Raw genomic sequence first — 22,025 nt, 5'->3', positions numbered from 1 at the left:
GCTGAATAAAGAGCTCAGTAAATCTTTTCTCACACAAAATAATAAAAAAATTGGGCAAAATCATTCAAAATAACAATCTCTGGACTCTGGAAATTGACTAGAGGCATACAAAAAATCAAGTATTTATTTTATCTTATTTTTATTTTTTATTTATTTTTTGAGACAGAATTTCGCTGTTGTTGCCCAGGTTGGAGTGCAACGGCACGATCTTGGCTCACTGCAACCTCCACCTCTTGGGTTCAAGTGATTCTCATGACTTAGCCTCCTCAGTAGCTGGCATTACAGGCATGCGCCACTATGCCCGGCTATTTTTGTATTTTTAGTAAAGACGGGGTTTCTCCATGTTGGTCAGGCTGGTCTCGAACCCCCGACCTCAGGTGATTCGCCCACCTTGGCCTCCCAAAGTGCTGGGATTACAGGCGTGAGCCATTGTGCCCAGCCCAGTGTGTGTGTGTGTGTGTGTGTGTGTGTGTGTATATATAGTTTTTTTTTTTTAATTTAATGAGCCTTAGGAAGAACAGTTGGAGTCTATGGTGTTTCAGCCTGTTGATGCTTCCATCTCCCTCCCCCCACCGCCTCATGGCAAAACAGCTCCAACAGGGCAGAGTAGGCAGTGGGCAAGGCCACACACATGCTCGGGAAAAACTGGAGAGGACCCTAGCTATCTATTCATTCCCGCACAAGCAGAAGACAAAATCCAGGATAGAACTCTAAACTGCCTGAACCTCGAACTGTCATTCAGCCCACACACACAGGTCCATCAGCAAATAGTCACAGGCTTGTCTTGTAAGAAATACTAAGGGAAGTCCTTCAGGCTGAAAGAAAATGACACCAAACAGTAACTGGAATCCATGCAAAGAAATAAAGAATACTGGTAAAGGTAACTATGCAGGTAAATACCAGAAACAATATAAAAACATGTATCTTTCTTTTATGTTCCTGTAATTTATTCAAAAAACAACTTCATAAAATAATTATAAAACTGCGTTGCTGAGCTTATAACTTATGAAGATATAATATATGTGGCAATATTATCACAAAGGAGTAGGCAAAGAATGGAAAAATGTTAATGCAAAGTTGCTTTGTTAAGTTAGTATTAATTTGAAGTGGATTATTTCAAGTTAAATATATATTAAGTTCCCTAGAGCAACCACTAAGAGAATAACTCCTCAAAAAAGTATTTTTAAAAACCCAAATTAATTAAAATGTTACACTAGAGAATATCTATTTAACACAAAAAAAGGTAGTAAGGGAGGAATAGAGGACCAAAAAATAACAAAAGAAACATAAGAAATAAATAGCAAAGTGGCAGACATAAATCCAGTTATCTAAATAATTACATTAGATATAAATGGATGAAGCATACCAATGAAAGGGAGAGATTGTCAGACTATTTTAAAAAATCAAATATGTGTTGTCTACAAGGGACACACTTTATATTCAAGGACACAAATAAGTTAAAAGTACAAAGATTGAAGACAATATGCCATACAAACAAAAAACATAATCTGCACATTCAAGACACCTGGAATGGCTCTATGAAGTAGACTTAAGACAAAACTGTTCATAAAGAAAAAAGAAAAATAGTTTAAAATTACAAAAGGGCAAATTTATCAGAAATATATATCTATTATAAACATATAAGCACCTAACAACAGAAACCAAAATATGTGAAGCAAAAACTGATGGAATTGAAGTAGAAGATGACAATTCAACAGTAACAGAAACATCAATACCCGATTCTCCACCAGTTAATGTAATAAACCATATTAACAAAGGACAAAACTATATGATCATATCGATAGACCAAGAAAAAGCATTTGAAAAAATCTAATGCTCATTCAAGATAAAAGCTCTCAACAAACCAGGAATAGAAGGGAACTTCCTCGACCTGATAAAGGGTATCTACAAAAACCCTACAGTCAATATCGCACTTAACGGTGAAAAATTGGTGTTTCCCACCCTGTCCCCACCCCCACCTTAGATCAGGAACAAGACAAGAATGTCTGTTCACATCACTTTTATTCCACATTGTAGTGGATGTTCCAGCCAGTGCAATAATGCAAGAAAAATAAATAAAGGGCATCCCTATTGGAAAGAAAAAAATAAAGCTCTTTTTATTCACAGATGACATAATCCTGTATGTAAAAAGTTCTAAAGAATCCACCTGCTCCCCAAAAAGCCCACTGAACTAATAAATAATTTCAATTAGGTCAATGACATAAGATCAGTATTTTTAAAACTTAATTTCTATATACCAGAAAATAATCTGAAATGAAATCAAAAAAATAATTATATTTGTAGTAGCACCAAAAAGAATCAAATACATAGGAATACATTTCATAAAAGAAGTGCAAGACTTATATAATAAAAACCACAATATCTTCCTGAAAATAATTAAAAAATAAATAGACATTTTATGTTTGAAGATTGGAAGACTTAATGAGGATAACAGTCCTCCAAAACTGATCTCTAGATTCAATTTAATACCCATCAAAATTCCAGCAGAATTTTTTTTGGACAAAAATTAATAAACTCACTCTAAAATTTACATGGGAATACAAAGGACCCAGAAGCACCAAAATAAATTTTGCAAAGAAGTAAAAAATTGGAGCATTCACTGTACATGATTTCAATACTTACTATAAAGGCACATTAATTAAGACAGTGTCATTTTGGAATAATGACAGGCATATAGATCAATGGAACAGAACTAAGCGTCCAGAAAGAACTCTTATATTTATGATCACTTGGCTTTTGACAAAGGTGCCAAGGTAACTTGATGGGGAAATATTCTCTTTCCAGAAAACTGTGCAGGGGAAAATCTGATATCCATATGGCCACACGCAAAAATATTAATTTAAACCTTTACCTCATACTATGCACAGAAATAGACTCAAAATAGATCACGGACCTAAATGTAAACGCTAAAATTTTGAAACTTTTAGAAAAACACAGAGGAGAAAATCATGATGATTTTGAGTAAGGTAAAGAGTTCTTAGATATGACACCAAAAGCAGAATCCATAAATATGTTAAACTGAACTTAATCAAAAATTAAAACGTTTGTGCTTCAAAAGACACCATTTAAAAAAAATGAGAAAAGCCAAAGACCAAGAGAAAATATTTGCAAATCATAAATATGGCAAAAAAATTGTAATCAGAAGGTACAAAGAACTCTCAAATTTTAAGACAAATGACCCAACTTAAAAAGGCAAAATACTTAATTACATTTTACCAAAGAAGATACATGAATGGCTAATAAGCACATGATAAAATGTCCAGTATCATTATTCATTCTGGAAATTCAAACTGAAACCACCACGATAATACTACTTCATAGCTACTAGTATGGCTACAATCAAAAAGTCAGATAGTAACAAATGTAGGAAAAGATGTAACAAAACAGAAACTTCAGACATTTCTAAGAGAAATGTAAAATGTTACATCCACTTTGGAAAACAGATTTTCAGTTTCTTAAAAAGTGAAACATACCCAATTGAATAAACAAAACATGGTATTTATATAGAATGGAATATTATTCAACCTTAAAAAGGAATGAAATGTTACATGTTACAACATGGACAAACCTTGAAGATATTTTGCTAAGTGAGATAAGCCAGACACAAAAGGACAAATATTGTGTGCTTCCACTTATATGAGGTACTGAGAATAAACTCATAGAAGCAGAGAGTAAGTAGAAGTTATAAGGGGCTGAGGGACAGGAGAATAGGGAGTTCTTGTTTAATAAATACAGAGTTTCAGTTTGGGATGATAAAAACATGTGGAGATGGATAGTAGTGATGACACTGAAACTAAAAATGGCTAAAACGATAAGTTTTATGTGATGTATATTTTACCACAATAAAAATACAACAAAAAGTTATACAAATTTATATGTGACTCAGCAATTTCACTCCTAAGTATTTACCCAAGAGAAATGGAAACCATATCTGAAAACTTTTACACTAATATCCATAGAAACATTGTTCTTAGTAATCAAAATGGAAACTATCAACTGTTCATCAACTAAATGAGTAAAATGTGTTATGTGTGCATCTCTATCTATATAGATCTTTCACTCTACACACACATACACGCACACACACACACAAGAATACTCTTCACCAATAAAAAGGTGAGGAAACAAATGAATAAACTTCAAAAATATAATGCTAAGTGAAAAGGCCAGATTCAAAAGACAACATATTTTATGATTTATTAATTTAATGTATTAAATTGAGACAGAAAGCAGATTAGTGGTTGCCTAGGGCTGTGGGTGGCAACTAGAATAAACTGCAATGAGCATAGGAGATATTTTTGGAGTGATGGAAATGTTCTAAAACTGAACTGCAGTGATGGTTGTAAGGCTCTGCAAATAAATATATTAAAACTTACTGAATTGGCCAGGGATGGTGGCTCATGCCTATAATGCCAACATTTTGGGAGGCTGAGGTGAGAGGATCACTTGTGCCCAGCAATTTGAGACCAGCCTGGGCAACACAGTGAGGCCCCATCTCTACAAAAAATTAAAAAATTAGCCAGGTCTAATGGTATTTATGTGTGGTCACAGCTACTCAAGAGGCTAAGGTGGGAGGATTGCTTGAGCTTGGATGGCAGAAAGGCCGCAGTGAGACCCTATCTCAAACAAAAAAAAAACAAAAAATAAAGTCTCACGGAACTGTACATTTAAAAGGATGAATTTTGTAATATGTAAATTCTACCTCAATAAAGATGTTTAAAAATAATTTTCCCATTGTCAGGCACATAACTCCCACTGACTTTTTAAAATAACAACTTTATTGAAATACAGTTCACATATCATACAGTAACCTATTTAAAGAGCACAATTCAATGGTTCACTAGCTTTTGGAATATTCAGAGTTGTGCAACCTTTGTCATGATCAGTTTCAGAATGTTTTCATCAGCTCTCCAAAAAGCTTTACACAGTAGCAGTCACTCTCCCTTTCCCCCAAGACACCCCAGCCCTAGGTAACTCTTTCCACTTCTGCCTCTACTTTTTTCCTCTACAGATTGATCTATTCTGGACATTTTGGCCATGTGAATGAAAAAACATCCCAGGATAGCAGTTCTCAACTGAGGTTGATGTTACAATCACCTAGGGAGCTTCAATAAAATACTGGCATTTGAATCCAACATCTGCAGATTCTGATGCAATTGGTTTAAGATGTAGCCTGGGCATCAGGGTATTAAAACCTCCCCAGATAAATCTAGCATGTGGCCAAGGTTAAGATCTCTATTGTCAAGTTTAAATTTTAGCATGCATCAGCATTACCTGGAGGGCCTATAACAATATGAGTTGCTGGATCTTATTCTGAGGGTATCTGATTCAGTGGGTTTGAGGTAAAACCTAAGAATCTGCATTTTTAACAAGTTTGCAAGTGATGCTGATGCTCTGGTCCAGGGATGAACTTTAAGAATCTGTGGGAGATGTCAGAGCAGCAAGATGGAAGGAACCTGAGCCCTAGTAGCTAGGCCACCTATTTTCCCTAAACCACCTACCTACTTTATATTATTACTTAAACAAGAAGTACAAGTTTACTCTGAACTGCAACAGCAGCCTATTCTATTTCCTAATACACATCCCTTGGACTGCAGTCCTTCAACAGCAAGAGAAGTCAAGATCTGAAAAAAAGTTACCATTTCATGCAAATTCACACACGTAATTTATACCCCTTGGCTTTAGAGAGATTTTCCTACAAGAGAAGAATGGTCTTGGAACACTGCACAGTTCACAACAGAATCAGTTTCTCATGGTAATTGGTGAAAACAATTCACAGAGTTCTGTTTTGGAAGCATTATTTAGACTGGAGGGATTATGATCCAAGCAGACAGTTCCGTTAATTTTCCCATTTAAGCCACAGCCACAGTTGGGTAACCCAAGGCTTCCAGTGAGAAGTTACTTTGATCCAAACCATAGCAGCAATTCTGAATGATTGTAGAAACCCTTTCTACATAACACATGGGGGAGTGTATCAGTTCCTCTTTGCTCTTTCTCTCTTTACACACAAACATAAAATGGACCTATGCACTCCAACTCTTTTCACTTAATTTTCATGCAAAGATCTTGGATATTCATCACTCCAATCTGAGTAACTAATGGGGCTTGGGCATCTGTTGAACAAAGGGTGAAGCTAGTAGGAGTTCGCCTATGTAGGAAATATGTTTCAGTCTCAAGCTCTTGATGGTAAAACTCTTTGCTGGTGTATCATTATTTCCTGAAAACATTCACAGTATCAAAAGGAGGTGGGTGGTGGTGTTGGCAGGCCACAGAGTCAAACTCACTAGGTAGAGGAGGAAAGGAGCTAACATACCTGACAAACTGGCTGAATAAGGCTGTAGTGTTCCGGATGATCCGAGCAGCCTGGGACTCCTCACGCTGGCATCTCTGCAGTGTTAATCCATCATCCATGTGGCCTTCCTGATGGAGTATGACCTACCCACAGGGCAAGGGACGGGAGCTCTAGGTTACAATTATTCCACATATGGGCAGTCAACATTTCCCGCAGTATTGCCCTCATCCCTCTTATTCCTTTCTCCAAATAAGCTCTCTTGGGTCCATTTTGAGAATGGGACATTAGCGAAGCTATTGCACCCATACGCCCTATTAGTGACATGTGAATCATTCCTTAGACACAGCGCTTTGATGAAAATGAAACTTTATGTGCCACCATGGTATGAGTTACCACATATTCCTCAGGCCTAGATTTGAAAGGGCGATAACATACCTCATGATTGATTTTCCTCTTAAAATGAACATAGAATCTTACCCTTGGAAATGGGAAAAGTCACTGTGTTCAAAGCCTTTTCCTCCAGAGATGAATTGAAGAAAAAGACAGACAATTTAAAGCAAAATTCTGTACTGGGATTAGGCTTGGTTTCTCAACTGAAGGCCAACTACACTGAGTTAGTTAATTGCAGGGCTGGGGAAAGCAGCTCAAGGTGGTAGCTGGCTTCTCTTGGAGGCTAGAGAGTAAATTTGAAAGCATGGGCTCTGATATCAGCAGACCTTTGTCTAGTCCTGCTATGCCACTTACCAGCCGTGTGACCTTGGGCAAGTTAGTTAACCCCATTTGCTTTGGATTTCACCATCTGCAAATAGACTTATCTTAGAGGGTTGGAAGATTCAATGATTTACATGTAGGGAATTGGCATGGCACCTAGAATCTAATAGGTGCTCAATGAGTGTTTGTTATCAGAGGCAGTATAGTACTGATCTTGGATCAGTTGTCTGGAAGCTAAGAGTATCTACTTGTCACTAAGGATATCATGACACAATTTTTTTGGGACTACCAGCTTTTTGTGTGGAGGTCAGGGGCTTTTTCCCTTAAAATGATCAAGTATGTGAAGATGTTAAGTGAGGTAGTTTGATCCTGGTTCAAGTCAAGGTTAGTTTGATCCTGGTTCAAGTCAAGGTCAAATCCTGATCCAAGTTCACTGGCATGGTTTCCTCTTGATGGAAGCAAGCAAAGAGAGACAAAGTGTAGATCCTGGAAGTCTACATGTCAACATAGACAAAACATGTGGCTCTAGAAAATATCTATAGAATAAAGATTGTTGGTCTCTCTCATTTTTAGCATAAAGAAACAACTTACTTTCCTTTCCATGTGAAACATCTCTTCCTTTTTATTATTTTGAAGGTACTTCCTGATATGATGAAATAGAATACCGGCTTGTTCATTTTTGAAACAAGACTTTGCATCCCATCTATATACTGCAGTGTAAGCATCAGCAAAGGATACTGTTACCATTGGAATCACTAACTGTTAGAAAATATTACTTTGTGAGAACATCTGAGCAACTGGTTAGCAATGTTGCATTTGGGTTTAGCAATACATTGCCACTATGTTTACTTTGGCCTGGGTCCCAGATTTCTGGTCCTTAAAGACCGAAATTCTTAGGTTTTGCTTGCTCAGATAACACATTTAAAACTGGCTGGGGGAAATGCAGTTGTTAGAATGTTGTTATGAACCCTACTGATCTCAGCAGCCAGTTCCTAAGGTCCTTCCTTCTCTGCGAGAAATCTTACAACTGAAGAGCAGGGACAAGAAGCCTAAGATAGGAATAGGAAAGAGGGTGCTTTAAAGTGGGTACTCATCAGGTGTTTCATTCTGTTTGTGCTCGATTGGTTTTTCTTGATTACTGTTTTGTTCATTTCATAAAACATAACAGATTTAGACATCCTTTGTATTTTTAGAGAGGGCACTTAACATGCTTCTTAGGAAATGAAGCAGTGTAGCCCTGTCAAGGGCTGAGCACCATCACACCAGCTGGAGAGAGTTTATAAAAGCACCTCCCAAATTCACACATACATTCTAACAGTTAAATGAATCTGCGGGCTATGGTCCTAGAAGAGAAGGCATGGCCAGGCACAGTAAGTCAACAATGCAAAATGAGATCTCTCCACATTTACAGAGTCCTTGGAGTGTGTTCCTGCCCACCCAGAGTTACAGCCAAGATCCACAAATTCCACTTTCTTTAAATGCTGCCATTGCCTTAGTAGGTTTGAAAAACTGTAGAGGCTCTAGATGGTATTACTGCACTCTATAGAGGATTTAAGTTTCTTCTGATAGGCTGGTAAGAATAGAGGATGGGTTTGTGGCATTTATTTTTGATTTGTTCTTATTCCCAGCGTGCAGCCCTCATTCCCAGGGTGTAGCTCTTCTAAAGATCAACGGAAAGCCTACTGTATTTTCCAGGGCAATTCCAACTTGTCATACCCCGAACCCTGACTTGTATATCCCTAGTACTCTCATAATGTCAACATCTCTGCTTTGCTCTTCATTATCACAGCAGTTTCGCTTTACTATTTTGGCTTCACACCCCATCCACGGTCAGCTTAGGATTCTAGAGGAAACGGCATGTAGAATTTTAGGCTCATGTTTTTGCAGTTCTCTCTACTCTGGACTCTTGGCACCTCGAGTCCCAGAAGCCCTGGCTGAACCTATGTCCAATCTGACTCTTTAGCACAACTGAGCTAATGCAAGATCCCATGCCCTAGTTCTGCAAATCAGCAAATGTGCTGAAGGAGAAAACAAAGATCAAGGTGGGCTCACCTTAGTGCACTTACGTTCTATGTGCAATATTTTGTGCTTATGTTTTGGGTGGCTTGGTTGTTGAAACCTTCCATTTTTTTTGAAGGTACTGTATCCAGCCTTTGCGGTTGTTTTCAGAAGAAGGGTTGGTCTCATACAAGCCAGATTATGTGGTCTCTTATTTATTGTATTTTCTATCCCCTCTTGATCATTTCATTTCCCCTTTTCTGGATATTTTCCTAGTCTGTGTTGCCTTAAGGTAATAAGGTATTACCTTATGTTCATTCTCAACATCCTTTCTTATCATAACCTGCATTCTGGAAAACTGTTCATCATGACTACCTTAGGCTGCTATACCTCAACTACAGAGCACAGTGCCTCCTAGCACCTTATTCTGGGACTAGTTGACTATTTAAACCCATATTTTATAAGGGTATTTCAGGAATAAAAGCATCACATCTTTGACATCCATTATTTGGTTCCCACCAAAAGAAACACTGTTACGGCAATTGACTTTCTGGTAAATAGATGCTGCATGCACCCAAGCTAGTTTTTCTCGCTGGAGCAGGCTGTGATGCACCACTCAAATCAAGATACACTCTGTGGATACAGTGTCATTCCACAACATCCCTTCTTTCTGCCAGTGGGTTCCTGCGGGCTTGTTATTATGCAATCTGCATTTTCTCTGTAGAGATCTATTTAGTCTATTATGAAAACTGCACAATAACTCAATTATCCACTGAAATGAAGGCAGCAATGATGTGGATAATCCCAAGACAGCACATCACCAAAAGTCATTTAGATCAGGCTTTAGAGTACATTAAATACATCACCTCTTCCTCACAGATTTGCTGTGTATTTGTTTTTTCCCCCATTGAACATGGGGTCAAAGTATCCAAATTAGGCTGAAGTTTTGGAGAAACTGTGTACAATCCATCACAAAATAACTCTTCTGAATAGTAAGAAGTAAATCACAATCATGTCCACCTGGTTCTCAGAATCACTTCTATTGCCTAGTTGCTTCCAACTCAGGGTAAAACAATTGTAGACAGATATTCTGACTCTCACCTTTCTTTTTAGAGGTCCCAGGCGGGAAGTTTTGGCGTCTTGTGCTTTGTAGGTCACCCACAGACCACTGGCTATATGCTGCACAAAGCAGACAGAATCTCCATACTTGATTTCTGGAACTCCCATGCCTTCTATGTCTCGCTTGTGACTGGAGTCTAATTTCTCCTTGAGTTCCTAATTCATACACAAAAAGAAACAAACATAGGCATAGCTGATTAAATTAGAAGCTCAATATACAAAACGAATCACCTATGAAGAACCTGTAAGCCAGGCAACTGGTTACCAAAATAATCATGATGTGCCTGTCCAAGCCAGGATTTCAGAAAGACTTGTTTCCCTTATCGCTTGTTAATTGTAAAATCAATGGCTTTCGAGTTCTGGTTACTTCAGTGATTATTTAAATCCACGGGAAAAGGGGACACCTAGTAAGCTCTTCTCTTCTGTTCTGATTTTGTGTAATTCTTCACTATATTTTCTACTTTCCTCATCCTGATTTATATAACTTAATAAGTAATCTGTTACTAGCCAATTAACTTATTTCCAGCGAGTGACATCTTCCATAATTGTAATGGTTATCTGTCACAAATGCACTGACTCAGAGGCTTTCATCATATCTATTGATTTCATGTAAAAATTTCTTATAAAAACCTGCAGAGAAAGGAGACCCTTTGAATACGCAGGGGTTAATACCGTGGCTTAAGCTAATGTAGTAATTTGTGTATCAGTCTCTTAGGGCCTCCTCAGTGGTGTGTTGTAGTCAAGCGGTTTCATTCTTCAGTTGTCACTGTTTCATTGCCTATTCTCCAGTGTGGAAAAGGGACTTCCTGTGCACCAGGTAACAACTCAGTGACAATCTGAAGTACCTGTCACAATAGCGTGTCATGAGGTAGACCTCTGATGCATGGTAACTTCTTCCCCTCCTCATCAATCAGGGCCTCCGTGGTTCTATTCTGAATGGTTATACCCTATTTCCATTTCTTGTCTACATCTTGCATTAAATTGCTCATTTGTAAAAGCCATTAAGCAGGCAGCAATTTGAACTTTCACAGAATAAAAAACGGCTGTTGCCTATTTGCAAAAACATTTCTCTCTCTTTTTTTTTTTTCTTTTTGAGCCCAGGGTCTCACTCTGTCACCCAGGCTGGAGGACAGTGGTACAATCTTGGCTCACTGCAACCTCTGCCCCCAGGCTCAAGTGATCCTCCCACCTTACCCTCCCAAGTAGCTAGGACTCCAGGTGCAGGCCACTGCACCTGGCTAATCTTTTGTATTTTTGTTGTTGTTGTTGTTTTGTGTTTTGCAGAGACAGGGTTTCCCCATGTTGCCCAGGCTGATCTTGAACTCCCAGGCTCAAGCAATCCACCCACCTCGACCCCCACATTCTTCTCATTCTTAATAGTGGAACAAATAGCAGCATATGTATTGCGTCATTACCATGCTCAGTACAATGTTCTAAGTTCTTTACGTGGATTAACTCTCCATAGTAGCCTCTGATGTAGCTACAAATGCCATTCCAATTTTACAGAGGAGAAAATGAAGGAGGTAAATTTGCCCAAGATCATTCAGGAAGTAATGACAGGATTTAAACCAGGAAGTCCAGCTCCAGAGTCTGCACTCTTCTCCTACTCTAAACTACTACTCACCCTTCAAAACCCTGCTCAGAGGTTACCTCTGTAAAGGAAGAGTTAGTCTCTCCTGCTGTTCTTCCCCAGCACAGTCTAATTGCTTTATTGGGCACTTAGCACATCATAATGTAAAATGTGTTTGTCTATACGACATTTTCTTTTTGTCAGGCTATGAAAAAAATCAAGGGCACAGGCCAAATTTCAATTAACTTTGGATTTATAACAGAAAGTTCAACACCTATCAATTACTTAATAGACATATATTGAGAGAATATATAGAGCTGAGTAATTTTTCTTTCACATTTATTTTTCATTTCAACTCTTATTTTCCTTCAAGCTTTCATAAAAACAAAATTATTTCGCACAGCATTTAAAGGATCACTTGGAGCAATATTAGTACTTTACAAGAAATTTCTTTTTCTTTTAAATGTGTGTGTTGAAACATTGGCTGGATTATTAAATATGACTTATTTTTTTCAAGCAGCAACATAACATCCAAGGATAAGTATGAATTTTTCTTTTTTAAAAAGATTATTTCCAGAAAAACATATTTCTGATTTTATAACATTAGCTAATAGGAAAATAGTATTTGATAGATGAGATTTTCTTTATAGGCAATTCATCAAGAATGCATTTATCCTATAAAACAATGGATACTTGATTTTCACTGCAGAAATATTCATAGCTCTAGAGACACTCAAGCCAGTAACAGGACTGAAAAGATGCGAAAATTCTCATCTCTAATCTGCTCTCTAACCATAGCTAATGCAGTGCTTAAAAATTATGCACACCACAACTGTTAAACATGAATAATTACATTGATTTCTAATAGCTCCTGATTAAAATAATTCATATTATCCAACTATCAATGAATACGGTAACTTCATTACTTTCTTGCCTTTCACTTATTTAAACATGGCTTTGCAAAAAAAAAATACAAAGATCTGTTTTTCTGGAATTACTGAAATAAATGAATCATTATTCTGTATAGAAAGGAGTGTTTCTGTGTCTTTGTTTTTACAAAACAGCATCGGCTTCCAAATTCTACGGCAGTCACTGCAGTGGGCACTTCTAATGTAATAGAACAGCAGCAACAACAAACAAAGATCTAGAGACAAAATCCATATGAAAAACAACCCAATGCAACCCTAAACAATAATGATGAATCAGTAAAGGAAATTAAAGAGCTCGGTGATAGAGAGGCTTGATTTTATTGACAGCACATTGGTGATTTTCTTTTGACTTGAGTATGAACTAATGCTCCCTTCTGTTTTTACTTGAATATGGTCCCAGCTGCAGTCACCCTACTGCTAGAAATGGAAACTTTCTAAAAAATAGAGCTAATCCAATCATTCTCTTTCAATAACTCCCAAGTTCCTATGGAATACAATTATTATCTCTAAAGTTCTTATATCCCAAATGCTCTAACAAAATTGGACTAAGAGTACTTCTATTTATTTACCAAATATTCCCCTTCTCTGGGCCTTTACTGACATTACACTTTCTGTTTGGAATTCCCCAGCCTCACCTTGGCATCTCTACATCTGTATTGTTTATATTTCGTATCTTCTGTATATTACAGTATTTCAGTATTTTTAAAACCTTTCTGGCTGGAGAGAGACTGCCCTTCTTGTTAGAGGCAGCAAAGGGCTCAGCTGCATGCCTTTGATATGCAATCTAATCAATTCACAGCCAGACCTCCTCTAGCTGGCTCATACATTCCAGGAGGCAATATTCCTCTGCCTTCCCAAGGCCAGGTACTAGGCAGATAAGGACCACCTCTATAGCTTACAGCCCCCTGAAATCACTCAAACTAGCAAATCCCAAACTGTTTACCCCAGCCTTGCCTTGCCTTAACCATGGAAACCCCAACAAAAGTGGTAGTGTAGGCTGTCACCTTGCTTCTGCCCCTTGTCTGCCTCCTGACCAAAGCTGGTGCTTTCCTATGTGACCCTGCATGGTGTGGCACGTCTCCTGTTGCTAGGACCTGTGAGTATAATAAACTTTGTTTTCCTAAGCCTCTCCTGTGTCTCCTCACATGGCTGCACCTGACTGATGATCACATAAAGGAACATTGCACAACATCTCATCCATCAAGCCTTCTCTACTTAGCCAAAGCTGGAGGATACCTGTACACATTCTCTGATCTCATGGTTTTGTGGACCCTGAACGGACTGTCCTTTCCAGGGCTAGCCAATTCCTAAAATGGTCAAGGACTCATCTGGGTATGCAAACCCAAGACTCACCTTTTATATGCAAACCAACTCAAAGCGCATAAAGCCAACCTCCTCCTTTACCCTCTGGACCCCCATTCCCCTAGACTAATCTCCCCAGGGCCGGTACCAGACAACTAATAGCAACTCCCATGCTCCAGAGCCTGCTGAAATTATTCAAAGTAGACAACCCTATGCCCATTTATCCTGCCTAGCCAGCCCATCCCTTTCTATGGAAACCACGAAAAGGCTTTCCCCCAGCTTCCCCTCACTCTCTCTGCCTCCTGGAGGATGGCACTTCTCTATGTGGCCCTGTGTGGTATGGCGTGTCCATTCCTCTTGGGAACTGTGAGTAACAAGTGTTCTTTTTCAATGCTGATTGTCTCCTGATTTATTGGCTTCATCATACCTGAATAATAAAATCTACATTTTAAAAACATGTCTTGTTGTTGGTATACTAGCTGCCCCCTGCCAGATTGAAAATGCCAAAGGTGTAAAACTGGGATTTCTGGGTCAAATGGTATTTCTAGTTCTAGATCCCTGAGGAATCGCCACACTGTCTTCCACAATACCAAAGGAATATAAACCATCCTGCTATAAAGACACATGCACACGTATGTTTATTGCGGCACTACTCACAATAGCAAAGACTTGGAACCAACCCAAATGTCCAACAATGATAGACTGGATTAAGAAAATGTGGCACATATACACCATGGAATACTATGCAGCCATAAAAAATGATGAGTTCATGTCCTTTGTAGGGACATGGATGAAGCTGGAAACCATCATTCTTCAGCAAACTATTGCAAGGACAAAAAACCAAACACCGCATGTTCTCACTCATAGGTGGGAATTGAACAATGAGAACACCTGGACACAGGAAGGGGAACATCACACACCGGGGCCTGTTGTGGGGTGGGGGGATGGGGGAGGGATAGCATTAGGAGATATACCTAATGCAAATGACTAGTTAATGGGTGCAGCACACCAACATAGCAAGTGTATACATATGTAACAAACCTGCACATTGTGCACATGTACCCTAGAACTTAAAGTATAATAAAAAACAAATAAATTTAAAAAAGAATGTTCTCAGAAAAAAAACTGGGATTTCTTTGCATTTCATACGATGCTTAAAACTGGTTGCAAATCATTTATTGTTTTATTGTTCTGCAGGCATTCAATCTGTATCTGTTTATCTGCATCAACCTTGTTTATGTTAGATGATAAGCTGATTCTAAGAAGGAAGAGGTTATCTGGCCTACTATGTGTTGAAGGGCAGTAATCATTATCCTCTGCCTCCAATGACAGCTTATTAAGGAAATGCTCATGACCACGTCATAATTGTCATATTAGTATTTGGCTGAGATGATCAAATTGCTACGACTGGTTTAATATTCCTGGAATATTAAATGTTTGGCTGGAGATGATCAAGTTGCCAAGATTGGTTTAATATTCCTGGAAGGATGAAGAAAGGAATTAGAACCCGGCCGGGCATGGTGGCTCATGCCTGTAATCCCAGCACTTTGGGAGGCCGAGGTGGGTGGGTCATGGAGTCAGGAGATCAAGACCATCCCGGCCAACATGGTGAAACCCCATCTCTACTAAAAATACAAAAATTAGCTGGGTGCGTTGGTACGTGCCTGTAATCCCAGCTACTCAGGAAGCCGAGGCAGAAGAATTGCTTGAACCAGGGAGTCGGAGGTTGCAGTGAGCCAAGATCGCGCCACTGCACTCCAGCCTGGCAATTGAGCGAGACTCCGTCTCAAAAAATCAATAAAAAATAAAAAATAGAGAAACTAGAACCAATAGTTGCCCCGGTCTGGTTCAAACTAGGTATTGCGCTAAGTACTTTACAATGAAAATGCCATCACGCGAATTCACCAGGGACCCACAAAGTGGTATGTATCACACATGACACTTTACATTTCCTCTAAATCTTTCAATGGCCCTATGGCTTGTATTATCCTACTTTATAGATAACACTGAGGCTTGCAGAGTTTGAGCAACTTGCTCAAAGCCACATAGTTGTAAGTAATAGAACATAATCCAAAATCAGGTACAATTCCAAAGCCAGGTATAATTCACTTGAACAGAATATCTGAATGGTTACCATTACCAGTAGCACAGTTAACTAATGAATTGTACCAATAGTTTAGTTGCTTAAAGGTTAACATGAAGAAAAAGTTGAAAACATATACTACTATTAGAAAATGGCTTTAGGTTCATACAAATTTTGAGTTATACATATAAATCAACAAGCACAGCAAGGTGGTATGGTCTATATTCAGAGTACAATTGGAGTTTGGGGAAAAAAAACAACTCTACCGGGGAGTTAGGGATGGTTTTATACAAGAATTTCTACCTGATGTGAGTGCAGCCAGGGGAGAGAGGAGTGAAGGGCAATGAGGAAGGGATTGGCTTTCTAGTAAAAGGGGCACCGCACGGCAAGAAGAATGCTGGAATCCAGAAAGAGATGAGAGCAAAAATTAAGGACTCTGAACTCTATTCTACAGGTTCATGTTTCTCAAGCTCATATTGTTAACAGACTTCGTGTGGGAAAAATATGACTGTGGACAAATACTGAATCTTCTTCTAAGAGTCAAAGGGAATATCATGATCGTATAAGCTCTTGTTAGTCCTGTGGTAAAAACAAAACATCAGCATCAATGAAAACATCAAAATGACCTTTTGAACTCTAATGCAGCATTTTGTTTATTTCCTCCCACTATTATCATTGTTTGGAATGCCTCTTGGGAAAAGCTAGTGTAAGTAATGGAAAGCCACTGAAACACAGAGTTGCATCTTAGAATAACCATTCTGGCATCAATGTGAATGATGGGCTGAAAAGAAACATGGCTGGAGATGGTTGAGTTGTAAGTTACGCCATCAGTATCTAGGATGATATGTGGAATGGAGTAGCTTCTAATTGATGCTTATTAATTAGAGTGAAATGTGTTATTTAATACAATTAAGCCACCTGTGTTTACAGATGACAAGAAAGTACCTTTTACAATACAGGACTGTAGGCACCCTGAAATGTTTCAGAGGAAAAGTAGATATGGGAAGGTGGAGCCCATTCATGGATGCTGGGGTGAGCCTTCAAGAAACTCCTGGTTAGCCCACTATTTCCACGTGTCTCTGGAGAAACCTTGAGGAATCACCTTTGGGTTTATTTCTATATCAATACAGCCCCCTTAAGACTTTCTCATCTAGAATTTGAGATCTTCGTATTGCCCTTAAAAACCACACACTACAGGACATTGATAAGAGTCTAGCTGGCCTCAAGCTTTGTGTGGGAAGAGGAGGAACGCCTTCCTCTGTTTACTACATGCTGGGAAGCAGATTCATCTGCCTTATTGGGGAAGGCATATTTCTTCAGCAGAAGTCACTGTACTGGGCTCTTTTCTCCGTATTTCTCATTTAACCCTTGCACCACCACCTTGAGATAAGCAGCACTACTTCCATTTTATGGATAAGAAAACTACCAGGTCATCTTCCTGGTCTCATTTAATTTTCACAGCTATCATTCAAGACATACTTTTTTTTAAATCTCTATTTTTTACAAAACATATGAACAGCATATGGCAGAGCCAGGGTTCAAACCCAGGCTTCTTCCACTTCGAAGCCCAAGGTTTTCCTTGACTGACTCTCTATTTGGTCCACTTTGAACAATAAACACTAGAGAAAGCACATCAACTTAAAGTTTAAAAATCCTTTGTAGATTTTATTTAAAATGAAGCTGCAGTAAGTGATGTTGTCTTCAGGCATTTGAATCTTACTATCCGTATTTTCCTCTTTCCCCTTCCCTCCTTTGCTCCATACCCTCCCTTTCCCCAGTGGATAACTTGGTGAGAAAACGGAGCAAGCAAGGGGACTGGCAAAAACAGCGCTGTTTCTGCACCAGAGTTTCAGAGACAGGTGCACCATGAGCACAGCTGTCACCTTGGTTAGGGGTGCTGTGGCTGCAAAGGTTAAAGGGCATGTGAAACGTAGGCAGGGAAGTCACATTTGGCCAAGAACACCATGCTTAGCACATAGATGTTTCACAAATGTTTACTAAACTGAATTTAATGTTTTTATACTGTGAGAAAAAATTTCCTCTAATTGGGAACAGTGATAGCTCTATACCCTTACACTATGAAATAGGCAACATTCGAGAATCTATCCCAATCATTCAAGATGTATGGTGTAGTCATTTAAAGTGGCTATTTAAAGCACTTCTAAAGTGGCTTTACAAAAAGCGGCTATATATATGGCCTGCTTTAACATTATTAATTCACCCTTCCCTGAAAAAAATTCAATGCTGTAAACTGACATTGAGTCATGACATCTAAACAGACAATACTGCCGTGCAGGAGTAAATATTAAATCACATTATCTGAAATCCTTGTGGGAATGGCCTTGCAATGTCAAGACCATGGAAAAATGATGTGAAATCAAGTTCATAGAAATTTGACTTAGATGTTCAAAATAAAATGAATCTCTCTCATTGGGTGTGTACTGGGAAGAGATTACAGTAGCAAAATGATTACACAAGGATGGCAGGATGTTTCTGTAAAGATAATGGAGGTTGGCCAGGCACAGTGGCTCACGCCTGTAATCCCAGCACTTTGGGAGGCCGAGGCGGGCGGATCACGAGGTCAGGAGATCGAGACCGTCCTGGCTAACATAGTGAAACCCCGTCTCTACTAAAAATACAAAAAAATTAGCCCGGTGTGGTGGTGGGTGCCTGTAGTCCCAGCTACTCGGGAGGCTGAGGCAGGAGAATGGCGTGAAGCCGGGAGGCGGAGCTTGCAGTGAGTCGAGATCGCACCACTGTACCTCCAGCCTGGGCAACAGAACGAGACTCCACCTCAAAAAAAAAAAAAAAAAAAAAGATAATGGAGGTTAGAATGAAATGGATTTCACTCTATTTCAAGGTATGACCACACTGATGTAACCCTTCAGCAAGCATTTTTCAAACTTACTACAAGACGTTCTGGGATGCAAAAATAAAGCAGGGTGGGGTATGTGTGGTCCTTGTCATCCAGGGCCTCCCAGTCAAGGAAGTGATGGCCTTAATAATGCATGAGCAGGTTTTCCTCTCACAAAGAGCACTTGACACTCGCCTGAAAGCATGAGAAGGCGCTCACTGTGGTAGAGTGCAGAGGGGCAAAAGGCGTTCAGGCACAAGTTTGGTGGTGGTTAGAAAAAAACAAATATGTTCCAAGACTGATAAATAGTATGCCGGAGCTCAAGGCAACCTCAGGCAAGTGGCAAGAGACGCAATGGAAGGGCAGGCAGCAGTCAGGTCTGAATGATCTTTTATGACAGACTTCAAATGAGGTGCAAATTGATGAAGAATTGTGTTCCAGGTCTCACAGAGAGCAGATGAGAATCAAGGCCCGATCTAGGCTAACTTTGAAGCCAGGCTTTGTCTTACACAACACCACTCTCAGATCAAAGGGATAAGGCTGGGATGCTGTATTTTGGAAGTAATACTACATCCTAGCTCTCCAATTTGAGTTGCATCAGCTGCTGAAGTTGGGGGAAGGAGGACCTTGATCAAGATCACATCCTGCTCCTTGCTCCTTATTCTATGTGATTTGTATAGCCTGCTCAAAGTCTTCAGTCTGATTCCATTTGAGCCAGGCCCGGCCAATAACTGCAGCTGGTTGGTTCTTGGACTTGGTCACCTTTCAGCAAGGCTCAATCACACCTCCATCTTATGCACATACAAGATGCACTGGGGCACCTGCCATCTTCCTGCTAATGGCAGGCTGCTAAGGATGTTAGCACGCACCTGCAGCTGTCCAGTGGCCCCTAATTTAGTAGTCATAACTGTCACAAGCTAATGCAACCTGACAGAAAATGTGGACTGGGAAGCTCGTCATTACCAAATGACTCACGGCCCAGCACACCCAGTGTCCTCCCAAAACACATGACTAAAGCCCCAGCAGTGCTCTTCCCAAGAGCCTCTTTTTCTCCTTTTTCAGATTCTCCAACATATGGAAAGGATCAGATGAATACCCTGCTTCCTCGCCCTCTGCCCCAGTCCCATAGAAAACAGATGACTGTCTCCACCACTCCCTCAGCCTTCCCAACTCCTATGCCACCACACAGATCCTGAACCGCTATCTCAGGCTACCATTTGCCACCTACTCTGTCACATAACACCTGTAGCAGGCAAGGGCTGGCGAGATGATTCAGTGCCCTTACATTGTTGAGAAACAGAGCCCCAAACCTCTTTCTGCTGGGTATTGTCACTAGCGCCCAGGGAGGGGAAGCACAGAGAATGCATTTAAGGAAAGCCCGTGCCAAGCAAGGCAAGAATATGCTTACTAAGCAGGCACATGGAAGCCCAGGAAAATCAGGGCCTTTCTACCGCCCTTCCCCCACAGTTATTTGGATGGTGTATGACAGTTATGTGTTCTCCACATGCTCTTCCTTATTGTGCAGCTTCACAGTCTAAGGTGCCAAAGCCCTGCCCACACAACGTCCCAAAGAAACCCTGACATCCAGTGGGAACACAGCCATATCTTGGCCTGCCATAGAGCCTAAGCCATTTTAATTTCAGTTCCTTTCAAATTGAAATGAAGGTAGCTAGGTTGAATACTACCGCATGGAGACTTATTTAAAATCTCTAGCATAGTGACTCCAGTGAAATGTAACCACATTGCCAAGTGCACAGGACAATGTGACTCATGGGTGACTTTTGCCCCCAGCTCTGCTATGCCGATGGCCCCCGTGGTACCATGACGACTTTCCACCCATGCGCTGCTTGCTTCTCCATACGTGGAAATGGAGGAACTTGGGGAGATGAGCAATGGACCCTTTGAAGGGAAATGTATTCAGAGGCCAGAAGTGATGCCAAGTGGAAGGAGTGTTACAAGGTCTCTATGGGGCTCTGAGCTTTCCTTGCTTCCCCCAGAGACCACAGCACAGTGCTGACCCATGCTCCACAAGGCTGAGCCAAGAATGGAATATAATGGAAGAGTCCCCTTGGAACAGGATCCTGCCAGCTGCCTGGAAGGCCGCCTGATCCTGTGCTGGAAGAAAAGCCCCTTTTTGAAATGGTAAAGACCTCGAGGTCATTGCTCTAACCCTGGCAGCATATCCCGAGTGGGTCAAGGAGAAAGGGGGTAGAAGGCTCAAATAAGGAAAGGGCCAAACTGGCATTCTTAGGAAAACACTTGCTTGGTCATTAGCCACGATGAGTCATTTCTTATTTTCCACCTCCCTCTTCTACTGCCGCCCACCTTCAGCTCCCACTCCATGTCCCAGTCTCTGTTCTTACGACTTTCCTGTTGCTTTGTTTCACTGAATCTTTCAGAAAGTTGCACTGCTCTAAATCACTTCCTGGAGGCAAAAATATTCACTAAATAGATATAAATTTGAATTTAAAGAATCCCTCTTGTGCTGGGAATCTAAAAAAAAATGATAGCAAAGTGAGGAAGATATGCTCAGAAAACCAGAATGAAATCAGAGTCAATAGCCATTGGAAGAGAAGCAGAAGGAAGATGACATTTGAGAGACGGTTAGGAAGATGTGAACAGGAAGCTCATGTCTTTTAATATTTGAAATAAAGATATGAAAAAAGCCCAATTCTGATATAGGGCAATATTAAAGAGAAAAAACTACATGCCAAAGAGTTTCTCTGCCTAAAAAGACCACAGGAGCACAAAATGAGGGAGAAAACAGACTCCGAACCCCTGCACCAAAGAAGGGGACAGTGCTGACTATCTTCTTCAGGTGCATTAGGAAGCAGAGATGCCCCACAGAAAATTCAGCTGTCAGCCTCACACCTAGTCCTAGATGAACAGAATCCTCAACAACCCTTGAGTGAAGTCATGGTGAGAACACATATCAAGATTTATTTCTGGAAAAGAGCAAAGAATGAAACTAAAGGTGACGCTCCCAAAGGAGATATTGAGCTATACTCTTAGGAAGTGCAGACTTCCTGCTAACTGTGCAAGCATCTGTGCAGAGCCCTTCTCATGCTTGGATGATCTTTCCAGAACACTCATAAAGTGACAGACCATCCAACTGTCTGTCAGAAGTTAGCTCAGCATGCAATTCT

General features: G+C 40.0%; 1 protein-coding gene across 20 annotated transcripts in view, besides 1 other annotated feature; it reads right to left on the bottom strand.

Moving 5' to 3' along the window:
* RYR3 (ryanodine receptor 3) overlaps positions 1 to 22,025 on the bottom strand; it is a 555,136-nt gene that overhangs the window by 292,969 nt on the left and 240,142 nt on the right. For all 20 annotated transcript variants that reach the window (XR_001751370.2, XR_001751371.3, NM_001036.6 and 17 more), the window contains 2 exons: positions 10,124 to 10,297; positions 6,335 to 6,456 (listed from right to left, as the gene is read on the bottom strand). Coding sequence is in view for 18 of the 20 variants with exons in the window: in NM_001036.6 (NP_001027.3) it covers positions 6,335 to 6,456; positions 10,124 to 10,297 (296 nt within the window). In the remaining 2 variants the exon portion in view is untranslated. The remainder of the gene's footprint in view (positions 1 to 6,334; positions 6,457 to 10,123; positions 10,298 to 22,025) is intronic.
* Positions 13,138 to 13,928: an enhancer, noted in NCBI's record as "OCT4-NANOG-H3K27ac-H3K4me1 hESC enhancer chr15:33851407-33852197 (GRCh37/hg19 assembly coordinates)". NCBI's record gives its function as "activates a minimal SCP1, AML or CMV promoter by ChIP-STARR-seq in naive H9 embryonic stem cells {active_cell/tissue: H9 hESC(naive)}" and the evidence as "EXISTENCE:reporter gene assay evidence [ECO:0000049][PMID:30033119]".

This window comes from Homo sapiens, chromosome 15 (genome assembly GCF_000001405.40).
Source record: "Homo sapiens chromosome 15, GRCh38.p14 Primary Assembly".
Lineage (NCBI taxonomy): Eukaryota > Metazoa > Chordata > Mammalia > Primates > Hominidae > Homo > Homo sapiens.
Note: the sequence above shows the minus strand (reverse complement) of the source record. Positions and strands in the feature narration are given on the sequence as shown.